We start from the raw sequence: 17,583 nt of genomic DNA, 5'->3' as shown, positions 1-17,583 counted from the left end.
ACAGAGCCTTGGTGCAAGCCAGCTTTGCCCAGCATCATTATCATCTTCTGTAAAATGGGGATGGTAACCTTGTGGGCATGTTTTGTGCAACTGAGAAAGTGTTCAAAAGGAAGAAATATCTTAGTGCCTCATACATAGTACGTGGTCAATCAATTGGAACCTTGACGATGATGGTGCTGAAGCTCTCACTCTTATTAATAGGCTCATCATCGGCTCCTGAGAGAGCATGGGGACTTACATCCCAGGAAGTTGGAGAGACATAGCCAGATCCATTTCCACTGGCCTAGGATTTTTTTTTAAACTTTTTATTTTAAAATGATTTTTGATTCGCAGGAAGTTTCAAAAAATAGTAGACAAGTCCGTATACTAGTTTCCTCCAATGGTAGCATCTGACATAACCGCAGTACAGTATCAACACTAGGAAACTGGCATTGGTACAATCCACAGACCTTAGTCTTCAGATTTCACAGCTCCACGTGTGCTCACTTGTATACGCCTGTGTGAGCGCAGGCATAGGTAGTTCTGTGTGATTTCATCACGTGCAGATTTGTGCAGCTGTCACCATAGTCAAGCGCAGGACTGTTCCAGCGTGACATTTTTGAACTTTGACGATTTCCTACCTGGCTTCTCCTACTGACCCCTTATTCGTGACTCCTGGGCCCCTACAAGGACTATGCCTTGAATTTTCTGCCTAAACCTTTGTGCCCACGGGGTCGGAACATGCTTTTGGAGAGGGGTAGGGAAGAAGGTCTGATTTGGCTGAGCAAGCACTTCTGCCCAGCAGCCTTCTCTGCAGCCCCAGATTCAATTTGAGACGTCTTAAGGGAGGCTTAAAAAAAAGACATTGTCACTTTTCCCTGTAATGAATGCAGGGGTTTTAGTTTACTGGCACACTCAAGGCAGCTGGTGATGGCTTCCAGATGCAGGTTATCTGCCTCCCCTGTGGACTTAGCGGAAAGCTTTTGGTGTTTTACATGCAAAGCACGCAAGAGGGCAGAGGCGTCTCTGGGGGTGGGTGGAGGGAACAGAGAAGCAGAGAGGACTTCGCAAGGGGCTCAGGGACAAGGAGGCCGCCTGCTGCTGCTTCTGAGGGTGTTTTCCCAAGAGCAGGAGAGGGCGGGGTGGAGCAGCCACACCCACAAAGAATGGGAGCTCCTTTGCAGGACAGGTGTAGGCTTCTCGCAAGAAACAGCCTCCTGAGTTTATATCTTCCTGAGAAAATGAGATACAGAAAAGCCAAACCTTCAAAACCACTAAATAAATAATGAGAGATCTCTCATCCTGAACTGGCACTTTTAACATGTCAGAGCGCTTTTCTAGTATTTCGTTCCATGCATTCCAAGAACTCAAGACTGTTCACATGAACCAAAAACAACTATGTTAATTAGCCTGCCAGAACGTCAGGGTATGAGAAAATGGAGGCCCAGAGAGGGGCAGTGACTAACTCAGGGTCAACCAGCTTTCTGGTGGTTGAACCCCAAAAGAACATTTTGCGTATATAAAGTGATATATCAGTCAGATCTCATGACACTAATTTTAAATGGATCCATTAACCAAAAAGAACATATTGTAGTGATGTATAACCAGAGCTGGACAGTTAATTGCTGACTATGTTTTTGATTGTTAAGAAAGTGAATAAATCCCACAATTGTTCTTAATAGTTGCTAGGGTTTCTCAGATTTTGTTTTACAGGGTCTCTTTTCCCCTCTTACAATATCTCTAACTACGCAAAGGCCTCAGGACTTGAAAGGTTCAAGATTCTACAAACCCAGACTCCTAAGTCACTCCAGCACCCACCATCAGACCACCCTCTAAGCCATGCAAATGTGTATTACTCAGGATCCTAAACTCAGTGAGGATCTTCTCTTTGTTTATACTCACTACTAGCAGCTGGGCTTGCGGGGAAGAAGGAAAGGGGAGTGAATTCACTGCCTAAAGGATGAATTAACCAAAAACACCTAAGGGGAATTGAATACTGTGTACCTCTAATCAGTTCAGTCAGCAGGCACTTGTCAGGCAGGACCCAAAGGCCCCAGAGGTACAATTCATGTTCTCCAGTAGCTTACAGTGTAACTGGGGACAAGAATCATGTACATACAAGAAAATGTTTAGTAAAGTACCAATCAACATGAAAGTTGGCTAATAAGTAGCTATACGTAATGAGGGGCTGTCAGAGCTCAGAAGGAACAGACAGCTTTAGGCAATGTAGCCTAGCGGTTAGAAGCATGGTTTTGGCGGTCTGATAGAAGTATGTATGAATTCCATGTGTTCTAGGTTCTTAGTCTGTGATGTTAAGTACATTACTTGACACTTCTAAGCCTATGTTTCCACTGTATAAAATGAGGATAATAGTTGGACTTACCTCCTAGGGTTTTTGTGGAGGTTAATAAAATAATGCATATGAATAACTTAGTCCTACGCTTGATGCATGAAAGGTATTTAGAAAGTTCTAACTACTGTTGCTGCTGTATTCCTTTGTTACAATAGTGAAGACTGTAGCTGGGCCTGAATGGTGGTTAGAATTCACAAAGTAATAAAGATAGTACGTGCAAAGTGTAAAGGCAAAACTGTATAAGATGTGTTTCCAGCAGAGACATCTCATGGGAGTGGAGGGATCTGGGGCAGAAGAGTGTGTGATTGGGTTAGAAAGAGAGGTGGAAGCCGGTTGCTGGAGAGCCTTGACTGCGAGGAGCATGGGCTTTAGATGTAGGCACTGAGAATGTGGATGGCTTTTGCCCTGGGACAGATCACGGTGAAAACATTTGTTCTGGAAGGGGAACCGGGGACAGGAGGAGGTGGCAGAAGGAAAGGTCGGGGCAGGAGATGAGGCTGTAGTCCAATGTGAGGGTTTAGGCTCGTATCTCTCTCTCACGCTGTCTCTTGGGAGAGAGAAGCAGGAAGTGGAGAAAGAGGCCAAAGTAAGCAGTCCCTGGGGACAAAATCAACAGAGCTTCGCAGTCAGTGAGTTGCTAGAGGCCATGGAAAAGGAAGTGAAAAACGATTAGTTCCAAGTTCAGACAATACAGAGAATGATGGCAAATTCTCATAATCATTCATTCACACTATTTTTTGAGTGCCTTCTAAGTGCTAGTTCTGGGGGAAACAGCAGGGAGTAAGATATATCAATATAAATCTGTGAGCTCTGTCTTCTTGGAGCTTCCACTTCACAGAAATGGGAAGTTCAGGAGGAGGAGCCAGGCTTGGAAGATCCTGAGTTGGGTTGTAATCACATTGGGTGTGAAGTGATGTCAAGTCTTCTGTCAGCATTGTGGACAGAGCATCTTCTCTGTGTGAGGAAGTTTGTGATCTGACATCCTGTCCAGTTCCTGCTGGTTGAAGGACTTTGCTAAAGCCACGCTATGTCTCTGGTCCTCAGCTTCCTTGGTTTTAATAAGAGGGAGTCAGACTAAATAATCTTACAGCCCAAGAGAAAAACTCATGTGAGTAATTAGAACTGTAGGACCTGAGCTGAGGAGCTGATGCTTCATGGAGGAGAAGCATCTGGACAGAGGTGATAATGAAGCTGTATGTTTAAATATGCATCGGCACATGGAAAATAAGAGACATTTAGCACAAATTAAATTTCTATAAAACCTGCTAAGGAAACACTCCTCCTCCTACCAGTCCTCAGTTATGGAGATTGTCTACCTTGTGAATGATAAATAGCAAATTTTAAATCTCAGAGATGCATATCCTTGTCATCAGCTTGTTTGAGAACCACTACCCAGCCCCCAAGCCTGCTCCACCACAGTGTGTGAGCTCAGGGAATTCACACCATTCCACTATTACCTTAAAGACTAGAAGATAAACTGCTGGCATATCCAGCTTCAAACTGCATGCTATGTAAAATGACAACCAGTTGGGCCTATGTGTAACACCATACGCTTTACTACACGGAGAAAATAAAAAACTATCTGGTTTAAAAAATAATTTTGTAGTTTTGACGTATATTTTCTTTGCTTGCGCTGACATTTCCCTTCAAGAAAGAAGAGGCTGTGGCCAGGTGTGGTGGCTCATGCCTGTAATCCCAGCATTTTGGGAGGCCAAGGCGGGTGGATCACCTGAGGTCAGGAATTCGAGACCAGCCTGGCCAACATGGTGAAACCCCATCTGTACTAAAAATACAAAAATTAGCTGGGTGTGGTGGCAGGCACTTATAATCCCAGCTACTCGGGAGACTGAGGCAAGAGAACTGTTTGAACCCAGTAGGCAGAGGTTGCGGTGAGCCAAGATCGCACCATTGCACTCCCGCCTGGGAGACGAGTGAAACTCAGTCTTAAAAAAAAAAAAAAAAGGAAGAAACTGTGATACCCACATTTTCCACATAAAATTAAGTTTTCATCAATGTGTATAAGTTGGTAAAAGTCAGCAGATAAAATTAGGCCTAGGCCTCTGCAACTAAGCTACCATCCATCAGTAACACACCCAACCATCTTTTGGACTTTCGCCATGGACACTTCTGTCTACCCGGGTTCCTTTTCTCACAGCCATGCCTGCAAACAGGAACAATAAAGTGACCAGAAGCTGCTACAGAGCAGAGTCCCTATTCACCTAAGCAAGTAGGCAAGCATGCAACTTTTATCAGAGCCCAGAGAAAGGACGCAGGCGGCCTCTGAGCCCTGTGGACCTGAGGAGCCACAAGCATGATGCTCTCAGTGAAGGGACTGGACGCCTGCCCCTCCAGACAGCAGAAGGAAGTCCCTAATTGCTTCCTGCTTCTCCAGAGAAGAGAGAGAACGTAATTATCTGGGGATGCCACTCTACGCAATTACTGAAAGCTGGTTTAATGGGCTGGTCTCATTCTCCACTACTTGCCTAGAAGGGCGGAAGGTGCTGTATTTAAAGAGAGACAGGCGGTTCGATGGACAAAGTGATCTGGATGAAGAAAGAGACCCTTAGAGAGACTGTCCTGTAGAGAGACCAACACTCACCACTCCAGTATGAAATGCCTACTGTATGCAGAAACTGTGCTAGGTACTGGGCAAAGGCACAGCGAAAAGGAGAGAGGAGGGAAAGAAAAAGAAATCACGGAAAGACGTAGAGATAGAACCAAAGGAAATGAATTGGGAAAACAAGAGAGATGACAGGCCACAATCCAGCCAAGCCTAATAAGAAAAAGACAAAAACCAGTAGGGATTGTTTTTTTTTAAATGTCCCCTTGCCCTGTCTTTCTCAGCAGTTATGTTTTCCTCTGTTTTTCAGTTTCTATTTGCGAGGACTGTGTAGGACATGCATTCCAGAAGGGAAAATCAATAACCCCTGTCTCTGCCAGCTAGCAGAATTTGGAATTGACGCTTTGAAAACAAAGCTGGGCAGGCAGCCTTTGTGTTCTCTAGTTAGTCTGTGTTGCCGCACCGCCCGTGTCTGCCCTCCTGCTTCCTGAGATTAATGAGGGCTGTCTCCGCCCCGGTGAGCAGGTGGTAATCTCATGTGAGGGTGAGGGAGGTGTGGGGAGGGACACCAGCACCCGTTCGTTGGTAGCATCTCTGTCTGCTCATCTCAGCAGCCATTTGTTTTGTCACTGCACCTGGAGCAGTGTCCACACTCCTGGTCTTGTCCTGCAAGGCTGTACGTGAACTGGGTGCTCTCACTTATCTCATGCTTCCCATGCTCCTTTACATTCCCTGAACACCCCAAGCTCCTTCCTGCCCCAGGACCTTTGCACTTGCTGCTCCCTTAACATAAGATGCTACACCCTCAGACCTCCACACAGCCAGCTCCTTCTGATCCTTCACATCCCGGCTCAAATGTTGCCTACTGTCCCCCACTGCCTTCCCTCTCTATCCCATCACCCAGTCATATTTCTTCAGAGCACTTATCACCCTCTGAAATTATCTCATTTATTTCTTGTTACTGGATGTTATCCTGTTATTACTTGTCTCTGGATGCACATAGCAAACCTGTGTACACAGATATCCTGCCTGTTTCAATCACTGTGTTGTCCCCAGTACCCAAATGGTTCATGGCAGGAGTAAAGTGGACTAGAAATGTATTGAAAGAATGACTTTGTTCATTCATTTCACAGGTGTTTGCCGATGGCCCGTTACATACCAGAAATCATACACATTGTTAAAATGCTTTATATGAAAATTATATATACCATATACTATAGAAATAATAATATACCATATTGTATTATTATTGTGTAAGAATAATATACTATAGGAAAGAATAAGGTGCCATTCTTGTATCCGAAGAACTCACAGTCTAATGATATTCCCATTTTCCAGATGACAAAATTAAGTTTACTAGTGAGGGAGTCAATTAGTAAACCCGCAGTCATAGGCCATGGATTAAGGCTTCGTTGGAGCTAAGGACAACTATATGTGGAAGCCCAGGGAGACAGGTCTCATTCTGGCTTCACTCAGGAAATGACATGAGTTGGGTCTTGAAGGATGCATAGGAGTTCATCTAGGGGAAATGTATTGCAGGAAGAAGGAACAGCATGTGAAAATTCACCAACATATGTAAAGGGACAGAGGTGTGTGAAAGAGTTGATGCTCGTGAGAGATTTGTGGCTGGAGTATAGCTAGCAAGAGAGGCAATAAAGAGCAATGAGGTTAGGGAGATGGGGAGGTGCAGGAAGGTAGGACCTAGAACCCCATGATCCATAGAGCAATGGGGGTTTATTGGGGGGTTCCTAATAGGGGAGTGGCATGATCAGATTTTCACTTAAGAAAAACAGCTTCAGCAGCAGTGGGGAGGGTAGATTGCTGAGAGGCAGAGACTGAAGCTGTGTGGGCAGAGAGGAGACTTGTGCAGTTGTTCAGAAATATGGGGGACCTAAATCGAGCAAGTAAAGTGGATCTAAAAAGGCAGAGTCAAACTGCAGGGACTCAGGGGCTAGCTGGGTGGGGGAACTGAGTGCCTGTTACCAGGGCTTATCAACCAGAGACAGAGGTGTACTTCAGTGCAAGCCGGCTCTGACGCAGGAAGAGTGCCTGGCTCTCGTCTCAAATGGGGTGCTGCATCTTGAAGGGGGATTTAGGAAAATCTGCTCATCCGAGGCAAGGCCATGCAGATTTATCATCTCTGGGAAGTGCAGCAAGTTCCCCAGCCTTTCCTGCTTTGCATTCCTGACTGAGAGTGTCAGGTTCAGAATTGCTGCTAGAGGAAGTTGCACTGGGCCCCAGTTTGCTGAGTGCTACCTAAAAATGCTATCTAAAGACAGGGGTCATGTCTACCTTCCTGCCTGCCTCCCTCCACCCTTCTCTTTCCCTTCCTTTCTTCCTTTTTTTCCTCCCTCTTATCCTCCCTTCCCCCTCATTCCTTCCTGTTTCCCTCCCTTCCTCTCTTCCTGTCTCCCTTTCTCCTTTCATTTCTTTTTCTTTTTCTTCTCTTTCTCCTTCTCTTTCTTCTTCTTCTTCTTCTTTTTTTAAGGCGGAGTTTTGCTCTTGTTGCCCAGGCCGGGGTGCAGTGGCGCAATCTCGGCTCACTGCAACCTCCGCCTCCTGGGTTCAAGTGATTCTCCTACTTCAGCCTCCCAAGTAACTGGGATTACCGGTGCCTGCCACCACACCTGGCTAATTTTTTTGGATTTTTAGTAGAGACAGTGTTACACCATGTTGACCAGCCTAGTCTCGGACTCCTGACCTCAGGTGATCCACCCGCCTTAGCCTCCCAAAGTGCTGGGATTACAGGCATGAGCCACCATGCCCGGCCACCTTCCTCCTTTCATTTCTCCCTCCTTCCTCCTCTTTCTTCTTTCTTTCTCTCCCTCCCTTCTTTCCTGTTTTCTTCCCTTCTCACTCTCTTCTTCCCTCTCTCTTCCTCCCTCCCTTCCTTCTTCTCTCTTCCCTCTTCCCCCCTTTCTCTCTTCCCCCTCTGTCTTCCTCCCTTCTTTCCTCTTTCCCTCTCTTCCCTCCTTCCTCCCTCTCATTCTTTCTCCCTCCCTCCTTTTCTCCCCCGCTTCCTCCCTTCTTTCCTCCCCCTCTTCCTCCCTTCTTTCCTTCCTTTCTTCCACTCTTCCTTTTTATTCCATTCATTGTTACACAAATTACCACTGAGCCCTTACTCTTGTCAGACCTGAAGCAAATCTTAAGAAAGATGACTAAGACACGGTCCTGCTCTAGTGAATTTTTGTCTACAGGGGGAGACATGCACAGCAAGCATATATCACAGGATAAGCACGCCCCAGGGCACTCTTCTCTATTTGCCCCGGGGCCAATGGCATAAGTGCTCGATAAATACCAGCTGATTAGTTAAATTTCCTGAAATGAGAAAAATAGTAGAAGAAACAGGTAGATTTGACTCCATTAGTCTGATAAAGACATATACAGTATTATCTAAAAGCAAGGAGAGAGTGGTGGTAAATGCCCCATCCCAGAATTTCTGCCTGGGATTGGAAGTTGCATTGGTGACAAGTAGAATTTCTTCTAGGCCAAGATGACACAGTTTCATAGACAGTACCACAGGTCTTCTGGCAGACTTTGCATATTTCCTAAAACACCCCTCCCTGCGTTATAACTGTCTACTCAGCTGTCCTCCTCCTCCTATAGCCTGTAAGTTACGTAAAAGGAGAGGTTGAGTCTGCCTTTTTCATTGTTCTGTTTTTAAGAGTTAGTCCTATGCCTAGTATGTAATGCTCAATAAACAATAAGCGAAGGAATAAATGACTTGCAGAACAAAGAGACTCCCGTTTTTAGGGAACAGCTGAAACCCTGAATGAATGAATGAATGAAGGGGCATGATGATATCCTAGCAAAGAAGAATAAAGTCAAGGCAACAAGAAGGAGCCCAGAGAAGCACTGATGTTTTTTCAGGATAATGGAGACTATTATTTTAAAGCCAGCAGTACAATTTATTATCTGAGACAATTTGATTTGTGGACGAATTTTTTTTTTAACTCATTACAAGTATTTAACCCCTTTGAGCACTAAATGTACAGCAAGCAAGTTGTTTAAAACAGGCATATAAAATATAATCCTGTCTTTTATATACTCTGGCAAAAAGGAACAGTGATTCTGACCCCCTCAAAGTACGACTCAGGGGTCTTAGGAGACATTTGCCATTGGACTGAGTCTTTGCCTGGTGATTTTTAGCTCCACAGAGAAATGTAAGGGACTTAGGAGGAGATGAGTATTAACATGGAGATCATACTTTGAGGCTCTGGTATTCGTTGATGTTCTGATTCTTTATCTTATTGGGACCAAGTGAGTATAGTGATTAAAAGTATGAGTTTTGGAATCAGGTTTGGTTTTTTTTTTCAGCTTTGCCTCTCACTACCTATGTGAGCTTGGGCAGGTTTCTCAACTCTTAGTCTATAAAATAGAGAAAATACTAGTGAGGAGTCCAGGAGGGAGAAACTCTGTGCCTCGCATTTGTACGTTGCTTTCTGGTTTGCACGCAGCCTTCACGTGTATTATCTTATCTTTGAGAGAGAGAGAAAGTAAGTCTCGCTGTCAACCAGGCTAGAGTGCAGTGGCAGGACCTTGGCTTACTGCAGCCTCTGCCTCCTGGGCTCAAGCGATCTTCTGCCTCAGCCTCCCAAGTAGCTAGGATTACAGGTGTGAGCCACCACACCCGGCTAATTTTTTTTTTTTTTTGTAGAGACAGGATTTTGCCATGTTGCCCAGGCTGGTCTTGAACTACTGGGTTCAAGTGATCCGCCTGCCTAAGCCTCCCAAAATGCTGGGATTACGAGTGTGAGTCACTATACCGGCCATATGTATTATCTTGTTTAATTACTGCAACAGTCTTGCAGGACCACTAGGGAAAAGTTGCTTATCCTCTAGGTATAGAGGTGGAAATTGAGGCTTAAATTCAGAAACTCTCCCAAGGCCACAAGGCCACAGAATGGGTCATGGCAAGGCTACAGCGGGATCCCAAGATTAGCGTGGACTCTCAGGCAGTGTTTTTCTGAGAGATTGGCCGGGAAAAACCCTGAGATTTGGTGAGCATGGAGGGATGCCTGGAAGGAAACAGCAGATACAGACAGATTCATGGGGAGTGTTGGAAAAGCATTTCTGGCTTGGTATCAGCCAAGACCCAAGGTAGGAGCAGGCTGTGAAGGTCACAGTTGGGACAGAATTTCCAAGAAGACCATCAAGATTGTCTGAAAGTATGAACTTTTGGCCAGGCACAGTGGCTCATGCCTGTAATCCCAGCACTTTGGGAGTGCAAGGCAGGTGGATCATGAGGTCAGGAGATCAAGACCATCCTGGCTAACACGGTGAAACCCCGTCTCTACTAAAAATACGAAAAATTAGCCGGGTGTGGTGGCGGGTGCCTGTAGTCCCAGCTACTCGGGAGAGGCTGAGGCAGGAGAATCACTTGAACCTGGGAGGCAGAGGTTGTAGTGAGCTGAGATTGTGCCACTGCACTCTAGCCTGAGCGACAGAGTGAGACTCTGTCTCAAAAAAAAAAAAAAAAGAAGAAGAAGAAGAAGAAAAGAAGAAAGTACGAACTTTAAAAAAAAAAAAGACTTTAATTTTTAGAGCATTTTTATATTTTTAGAGCATTTTGAGGTTTACAGAAGAATTGAGTGGAAAGTGTAGAGAGTTTCCATATACCCCCAACACACAACCATACAGTTTCTCTTGCTATTAACACCTTGCTTTAGTGTGGTATGTTTGTTACCACTGCTGAGCCAATATTGATACATTACTAACTAAAGTCCCTAGTTTACATTAGAGTTCACCGTTTGGTTTGTACGTTGGATGGGTTTTGACAAGTGTGTAATGACATGTATCCACTATTACAGTGTTATACAGAATAGTGTCAGTGCCCTAAAATTTCCCTGTGTCCCACCTATTCATCCTTCCTTCCATTCCCCCAAACCCTCAAGTGTGAGCTTTTAATCATGCAGGTAAATTCTTTCATTTTCACAACAGCTTATATTTATTTGGTTTTTCATACTCTCAGATAAGAGTCTCCTTTTTCTTCTTTGAAAAAGGGTAAGTGACTCCCATGTGTCAAAGTGCATAGAGCAGGTCAGCAGGACAGCCAAGCCCTGACTCAGCTTCCCAGCCACAGTGTGAAGCGTATGAGTGTGAAAGTCTCTCCTTCAGAGAAAAGACCAGTGGTCCAAAGACCCTGCCCATTCCCGTAGCTGTGCTTCCCCAAAGAATCTCTGAGGAGGTTGACATAATGGTGAAGTGCTCAGACTCTGGAGTCAGGCTGCCTGGAGTCAAATCCTGGTTCTTACCACCTTTATGACCTTAAGCAAATTGCATGCCTCCTCCTTAGCCTCAGTTAACCCATATGTTAAGTGGAAATAATATAATCCCCCTTTATGATGTTGTTTTGAAGAGTAGTAATTATTATTGCTGCTTTTATTCCATCTCTGAGAATTAACTAGGCCCAGGTTATCACATCTTAGAGACTAAATCTTCCCTTCCTAGACAAATATGTGCCCCCAAAAAAAGTCATATTTATAGTTTCCTGGCTCTGAAATGACCCTCCCTAACTAGTAAAGATATTTAACTTCATCACTCTTTCTGTTATTTCTTTGAGTGGGGCTGACCTCTTCCGGCATATGGCTTCTAATGGGCTAGGTATAAAGTAGGCCAGAGAAAAAGAGGGTGTAACTTCCCTGCCCTGTCCCTTCCTCTTGTCCCCACCAAGACATGGAAAGGACGAAAAGAACTGAGGAGTCCCAGCTCCGCTATTAACCGCTGCCTGCCTAGGGTAGGCTGAAAAATGGCTCTTCTAAAAATGCCTACATCCTAAACTCTAATGTATGTGAATGTGTACTCCACATAGCAAAAAGGATTACAAATCAAGAATTCAGGTTCTTCAAGTGGATAGATTATCCTGGATTATTTGAGGGGATCCAATGTAATCAGAAGGGTCTTCATAAGAAAAAAGACATGTGCTGGAAGCAGAGAGAGAGAAAAGACCACGTGATTCAGGGAAGGAGGACAACCCCGATCCTGGAAAAGACAGGAAAACAGATTGTACCCTGGGGCGTCCAGAAGGAACGCAGTCCTGCTGACACCTTGACACGAGCACAGTGAAACTGATCTAGGACTTCTGACCTCCAGCATTCTAAGACAATAAATTCGTGTTATGTTAAGACGCTCAGTTTGTGGTAATTCGTTATAGCAGCCATGGGAAACCAGTACTAGAACCACCCTCAGGCTGTCACCAAACCCTGTCGTCTGGATTTCCTCTTCTATTAAAATAAATCATTGACATAAAATCAGTGAATTTCACCTTGTATTCTGAGAAACTCTGGTGCTTCAAGAGCCCACAAATAGTTATTTTCAACAGTGATAAAGATTTAAATTGCCTCTTTTGACATTAGTGTGCAACATGAGATTTTGTGTCACAAAGAGCCTATGGGGAGAAAAAAGGCTTGAAAAATAACCACTGGACTTGATAAATAATCTTTCAGGTCTACTCATATCACAGAGTTTGATGGTTCTTTGAGGCCATCTTCCACCAGGAAGGAGCTAGGTTTTGTCATTGAGGTAAAATTCCGTGGCAGGGTCAAGAAGCCAGCACCAGGTAGGGACAGCATAAAAGAGAATCAGGATAATGCCAGGTCTCTGGACTCAGAGCTGGACTTTGGAAGCTCAACTCCAAGGTTGAGGGTCTGAGCTGGGCTCACTGTGGGAGGAAAGGAAAGGAGAAGGGTTGGTGTTGACTGGGAGGTGATTACCTGGAATGGGGCTTAGGGCTTTTGAAAGTTTCCAGATATCCTTGGGACTGGTTAGGGATTTCTGCAGCAGGGCAAAGTTTAACTGGCTTTCTTGGCCATTCTCCCTTCCTTCTTGTAGCCCCAGATAAACTACTTTGCATCTGGGGGCAACAGCCAGTTCTGGAAAGAGAATTATTAGAGACTCATGTGAAGACATCGTGAGCCAGTCATCAAAAATATTTGCTAGATGAATAAATAAGTTGCTTGTGCAGAGTGCAGGACGGTGGTTTTCAGAGCCTGAGATCTCTGCCGCAATACTGCTCATGGTACATGTGGGTCTCTTTTATTGGAGCAGATGTTTCAGAGCAGGCTTGTATCAGAACTGACACATCCATATGCATAGCGCCTGCCGTGCCGGCACGGAGCACTTCTGTGTCTGCCACAAGCATTCAGCTCTATAAATGGATGTGTTACGATGTGTCCATTTACACCGACAGCTATTATTTGCCATTGTTAACATTCTCCTTTAAAGTTCTCTCTGTACGCAGTCCCCAGGCACAAGTGCGCAAACCTAAATTACTTTTAAATGCCAATGATCCGTTCCTGGGTACTGTGTCTGCCAGGAAAACTTCCTAGCCAGACAAGTAAGTACCCAGTGGATAAGGTTTGGTACATACAGCACATGGTCCAGTAGCAGTTCCAAGATTTCCCAGCTAATTAGCATTCTGTTTTTAAGGTTGTACTCCTCTTTCTGCTAATAGAGACAACACCATTTCTTGGGCTGAGAGATGGGGTATTTGTCTGAGATAACTTCTAAAGCCCATAATTTACCCCCAGGTGATCATATCTCCCCACTGCCGACATGTACACCAAATAAACAGAGGCTGTGTCAAGGAAGGAATGAAGCCTCAGAGACTTTCCTTCTTAGTAGGCAATAAGCTTTTGTCAAACCCTGACTGCATATCAGACACAGTTCTTATTAATTTCTACCTATTATCTCCCTTAATCCTTGTGACAACCTAGTGATTACCATCACCAGTTTACAGATGATAAAACGGAGGCATACAAAAGTGAAATGATTTACCCAGGGTCACATAGTCACTGAGTGGCAGAACTGGGATTTGAACTCAGTTTACATCTAGAACCTGTAACCTGAACCACTCTGCTATGCTGCCACAGATTAGAGAAGTATTTAATGAAAGGCAAAAACTGTGATCCAAATCCCAGCTCCAAACAACTTCAAGTTTCTTTTTATGGGGTTTCAAAAAATCAGTAAATTTTGCTTGAAAGTCTGGATTTCCAGCTTCTCTGGAGAAATTAAAAGTGTTAACACTGGGTGCCCAGTCCTGCCCGGCAACCACAGGCCAACCAGAGTGACAGGTCCCCTCTTAAACATACTGTGTGCCCTCCTATCTGCAGGGGGCCTGCTCCATGAGTCCTGCAAGCTTCTAGGGAGTCCCATTGATATGTGGCCACCTCTTACCCCAGAAAGATCCCATTCTCCAATAGAATAGGTGAGATTTTCTCTTTCTGTTTTGCTAGCTGGTGATCTTGGGCACACTGCTTCTCCTCCCTAAGCCTTCATTTCCTTTTCAATAAAATAAGGATGATTAATCCTTAACCAAACCATAATTTTTGCCTTTCTTTTTCTTTTTCTTTTTCTTTTTTTTTTTTTTTTTTTGAGGCAGATTCCCACACTGCCACCCGGGCTGGTGTGCAGTGGCGTGATCTCAGCTCGCTGTAACCTCTGCCTCCTGGGTTCAAAAGATTCTCCTGCCTCAGTCTCCCGAGTAGCTAGGATTACAGGTGCCCGCCACCACGGCCAGCTAATTTTTTGTATTTTAGTAGAGACAGGGTTTCACCATGTTGGCCAGGCTGTTCTCAAACTCTTGACCTCGTGATCCGCCCCCTTTGTCCTCCCAAAGTGCTGAAATTACAGGCGTGAGCCGCTGCGCCCGGCCAAGCCATAATTTTTAACGTGAAAGTTAAATGAACCTATAGTTCCAGCTGCTAGGGAGACTAAAGTGGGAGAATTGCTTGAACCCAGGAGTTCAAAGTTGCAGTGAGCCGTGATGGCACCAGTGCACTCCAGCCTGGGCAACACAGTGAGACCTGACTCAAAAAATAAATAAGTCAAATGAGATGACACATGGAAAGGACTTATTCAGTAGAGCCTGGCACAAAGTAGGTGCTCAATAAATACAATGTTAGTATTCTGCACCCTCATCCTCATGCATCCTTCATCCTTCATTGATGCACACAGAGTTTATCTTACAGTTGGGCTATTGGCTTGCGGGGTTAGAGGAGAAGGAGTTTTGGGGTTTGGTTTGGTAGTCTTGGGATTTTCTCTGATTTAGAAACAAGAAATTTAAAATTTTATTTGAAATTACTTGATTTTGAGATGTTGGCACCTAATGCAAAATCTTCTTAAGCACTAAGTGTCCATACCATGTTGGGCAAATCCAGTCATCTGTGGGTCCCATTCAACTACTGGCCTCTGATATAGATCATGCCTCCCAGTCACTGGGGTGAGCCTGCTGCAGGCCAAGGATGTGAATGGAAGATTCTGGTTTTTCCTGCAGCTGCAGGTGTCAATAATCTTGCTAATATGTTAGCAAGTCTTGATGCCATAATCCCTTGAATCAGTTTAAATCCAACTGCCTGCCAAGGCCTTGAAAAAGCGACTCTAATCGTGGCAATCAAGAAGGCTCGGGGGAGGCAAATATGGGAGCAGATCTTCCCAAAACCAACTCACATGGACCATTGCTAATTGTACAAAGCAGAGCACTGTTCCTGGACTTGAACATCCCTTTCTACTACATCTTGTAGTGTTTTGAGGCTGAGCACTCTGCCTACATCAGGGTATGGCCCTGGCATGTTCCAGAAGTGAGTGACTTTGCCCTACTTCTTCAAAGTCACACACCACTGGTCATTTTCACTGAAGCATCCCAAAGACTCCAAATACCGAGGGACCAACACATTCTTTAGCTTGACTCATCATTGTTTATTTAGACAGATTGTTTCCTCAATACATGCACATCTATGTGCCTCTCTGTCACCAGCACCATCTCGACTCTTGTCATTGATTGCCTGTTCTTTGAGAACAAAGTAGAGTCAACGACTCATAAGTCCTACAGTTCCCTTCCCCGGCCTACTCTAGAATTTTTCTCTAATTGTTTTTTAAAGTCATAATGGTAAAGTAATAATTGCATGGTTTCATTGTAGCCACGTGCAATGTTTCCAAGCATAGTTTGAAAACCACCTGCTCCAGAATCTCCCAGACCTTATTTAGAATGCAGGTTCCTGAGCCCTGTTAGCAACTAACTGAATCCTGATTTCTGGTCAAGGCCCAGGAATCTGCATGTTTAAACCACTCCACAGCTGATTCTATAACTTTTGAGAACGACTGGCATGCAGAATACAGACTTGGCATTGAAATGAGAAGAGATCTGGGTTCGAGTCTTAGTCTCCCCACTAGTCCTGAGCCAATTGCTAGCTTCTCTACTAAGCTTGGTTTCTTCATAGAGACTAAAGGTAGTACCTAATGCAGAGAATGTTTGTAAAAGAGTTAGCACTAACACACAGTAAGCACTTCAAATGTTAATTATTATTCTTATATCATTTAATTGCTGTAACAACCCAGTGGGGTTGGTGGGATTATCCTTCTTTAAAAGATGAAGAAACTCGGACTCAGCAAGGTTAGGTAGTTTGTCCAAGGTCACATAGCAGAGTCAAAATATGAATCTACATTAATCTGACTCACTGTTAACAGTGTTTAAAACAATTGGGGGAAATCAATCCAAAATTAAAATGAGAGTGAAGAGGCCTGAGAATAAAAAGTGGGGGAACTTCCACACATGTAAGGCAAGTGTCTGTTGTCTGTGTTGGATTTTCCTGTGTGCTGTTCGGCATCTGGCCAGGAGTGGAGATGAGATAGGTGATGGTTGTGGCTCACATTGAGTCCTTTGTGCCTAATATCCAAGCCTTCATTGCTCTTAATTTGTCAATCCCTTAGAATGTTGTCAGGCAAGGAGGTCCCACATTATGACAGTGGATTGGAGAATGTGGGAGGGCCTCATGTGGAACAAAGGCAAAGAACAAAGCCTCCCTCTCAGTTACTTTGAGACTTTTTCTCCAAACAGTGGAGGGTAAAGGACCTCTGGTTCTCTTTGGAGCCTTTTTGAGTTTCTCCCTGTGAGTGGCCTACAAGCTGAGGATGGAGTCTGGCCCGGCTTTCAGCAAATGCTGACTCCGCCTGCACTTTGGAAACATGACCCCGGCTAGGCTGCGAGCTGGCTGCCATCTGTCCCGGGCCAGTTTAATCCACACATCTTGTAGAGAGAAGGAAAAAGTGAAAAAGCTGTCTTGAAAAAGAGATGCAAAGAGTCACAGAGCTTCCTCAAATTGGGTTACTCTACCATAGTTGGGTAGATGGGAAGGTCAAGCTGCTTAGGAATGAGAATACAGTTTGAGATAAGGAATTAAACCATTAAAAAATCTAACCAATATATTATTAGTATTTTGTTTAACAAAGCAGATTATCAAATCATATATTCCAATTTAATTAAATAAAATGGAAGGTACATTTAAAAGTTTGAATATGATTTTATATATGTATATATTTGCATGGGGAAAAAAGCCTGAAGGACATAAACCAAATGATAGCAATTGTCAACTATAAGTGATAGGAATTTGGATGATTTTATTTTTTAAGTCAACTTTATTGAGATTTAATCTACCTAAAAAATGCATCCATTTCATCTGTATGATTCTATTTATCTTGACCAGTGAATAGCCATGTAACCACCACCAAAATGTCCTTCTGTCTTCAGCCAGTCCTCTCTCCCATGCATGGATCCTGGCGAACACCAATCTGCTTTCTGTCACTGTAGTTTTGCCTGTAGAACTATTTCATATAAATGGAATCACACAGTATGTTACCTTATGTAGCTAACATCTTTCACTTAGCGTAGTATTTTGAAATTCACCCTGTGTTGTAT

The 17,583-nt window shown here is 44.2% G+C and overlaps 1 protein-coding gene across 3 annotated transcripts in view; it reads left to right on the top strand.

Moving 5' to 3' along the window:
- SLIT3 (slit guidance ligand 3) overlaps positions 1-17,583 on the top strand; it is a 639,400-nt gene that overhangs the window by 418,128 nt on the left and 203,689 nt on the right. The gene's annotated exons all lie outside the window — the stretch shown is intronic.

This window comes from Homo sapiens, chromosome 5 (assembly GCF_000001405.40).
Source record: "Homo sapiens chromosome 5, GRCh38.p14 Primary Assembly".
NCBI classification, from domain to species: domain Eukaryota; kingdom Metazoa; phylum Chordata; class Mammalia; order Primates; family Hominidae; genus Homo; species Homo sapiens.
This window is presented reverse-complemented; position numbering and strand designations above follow the sequence as displayed.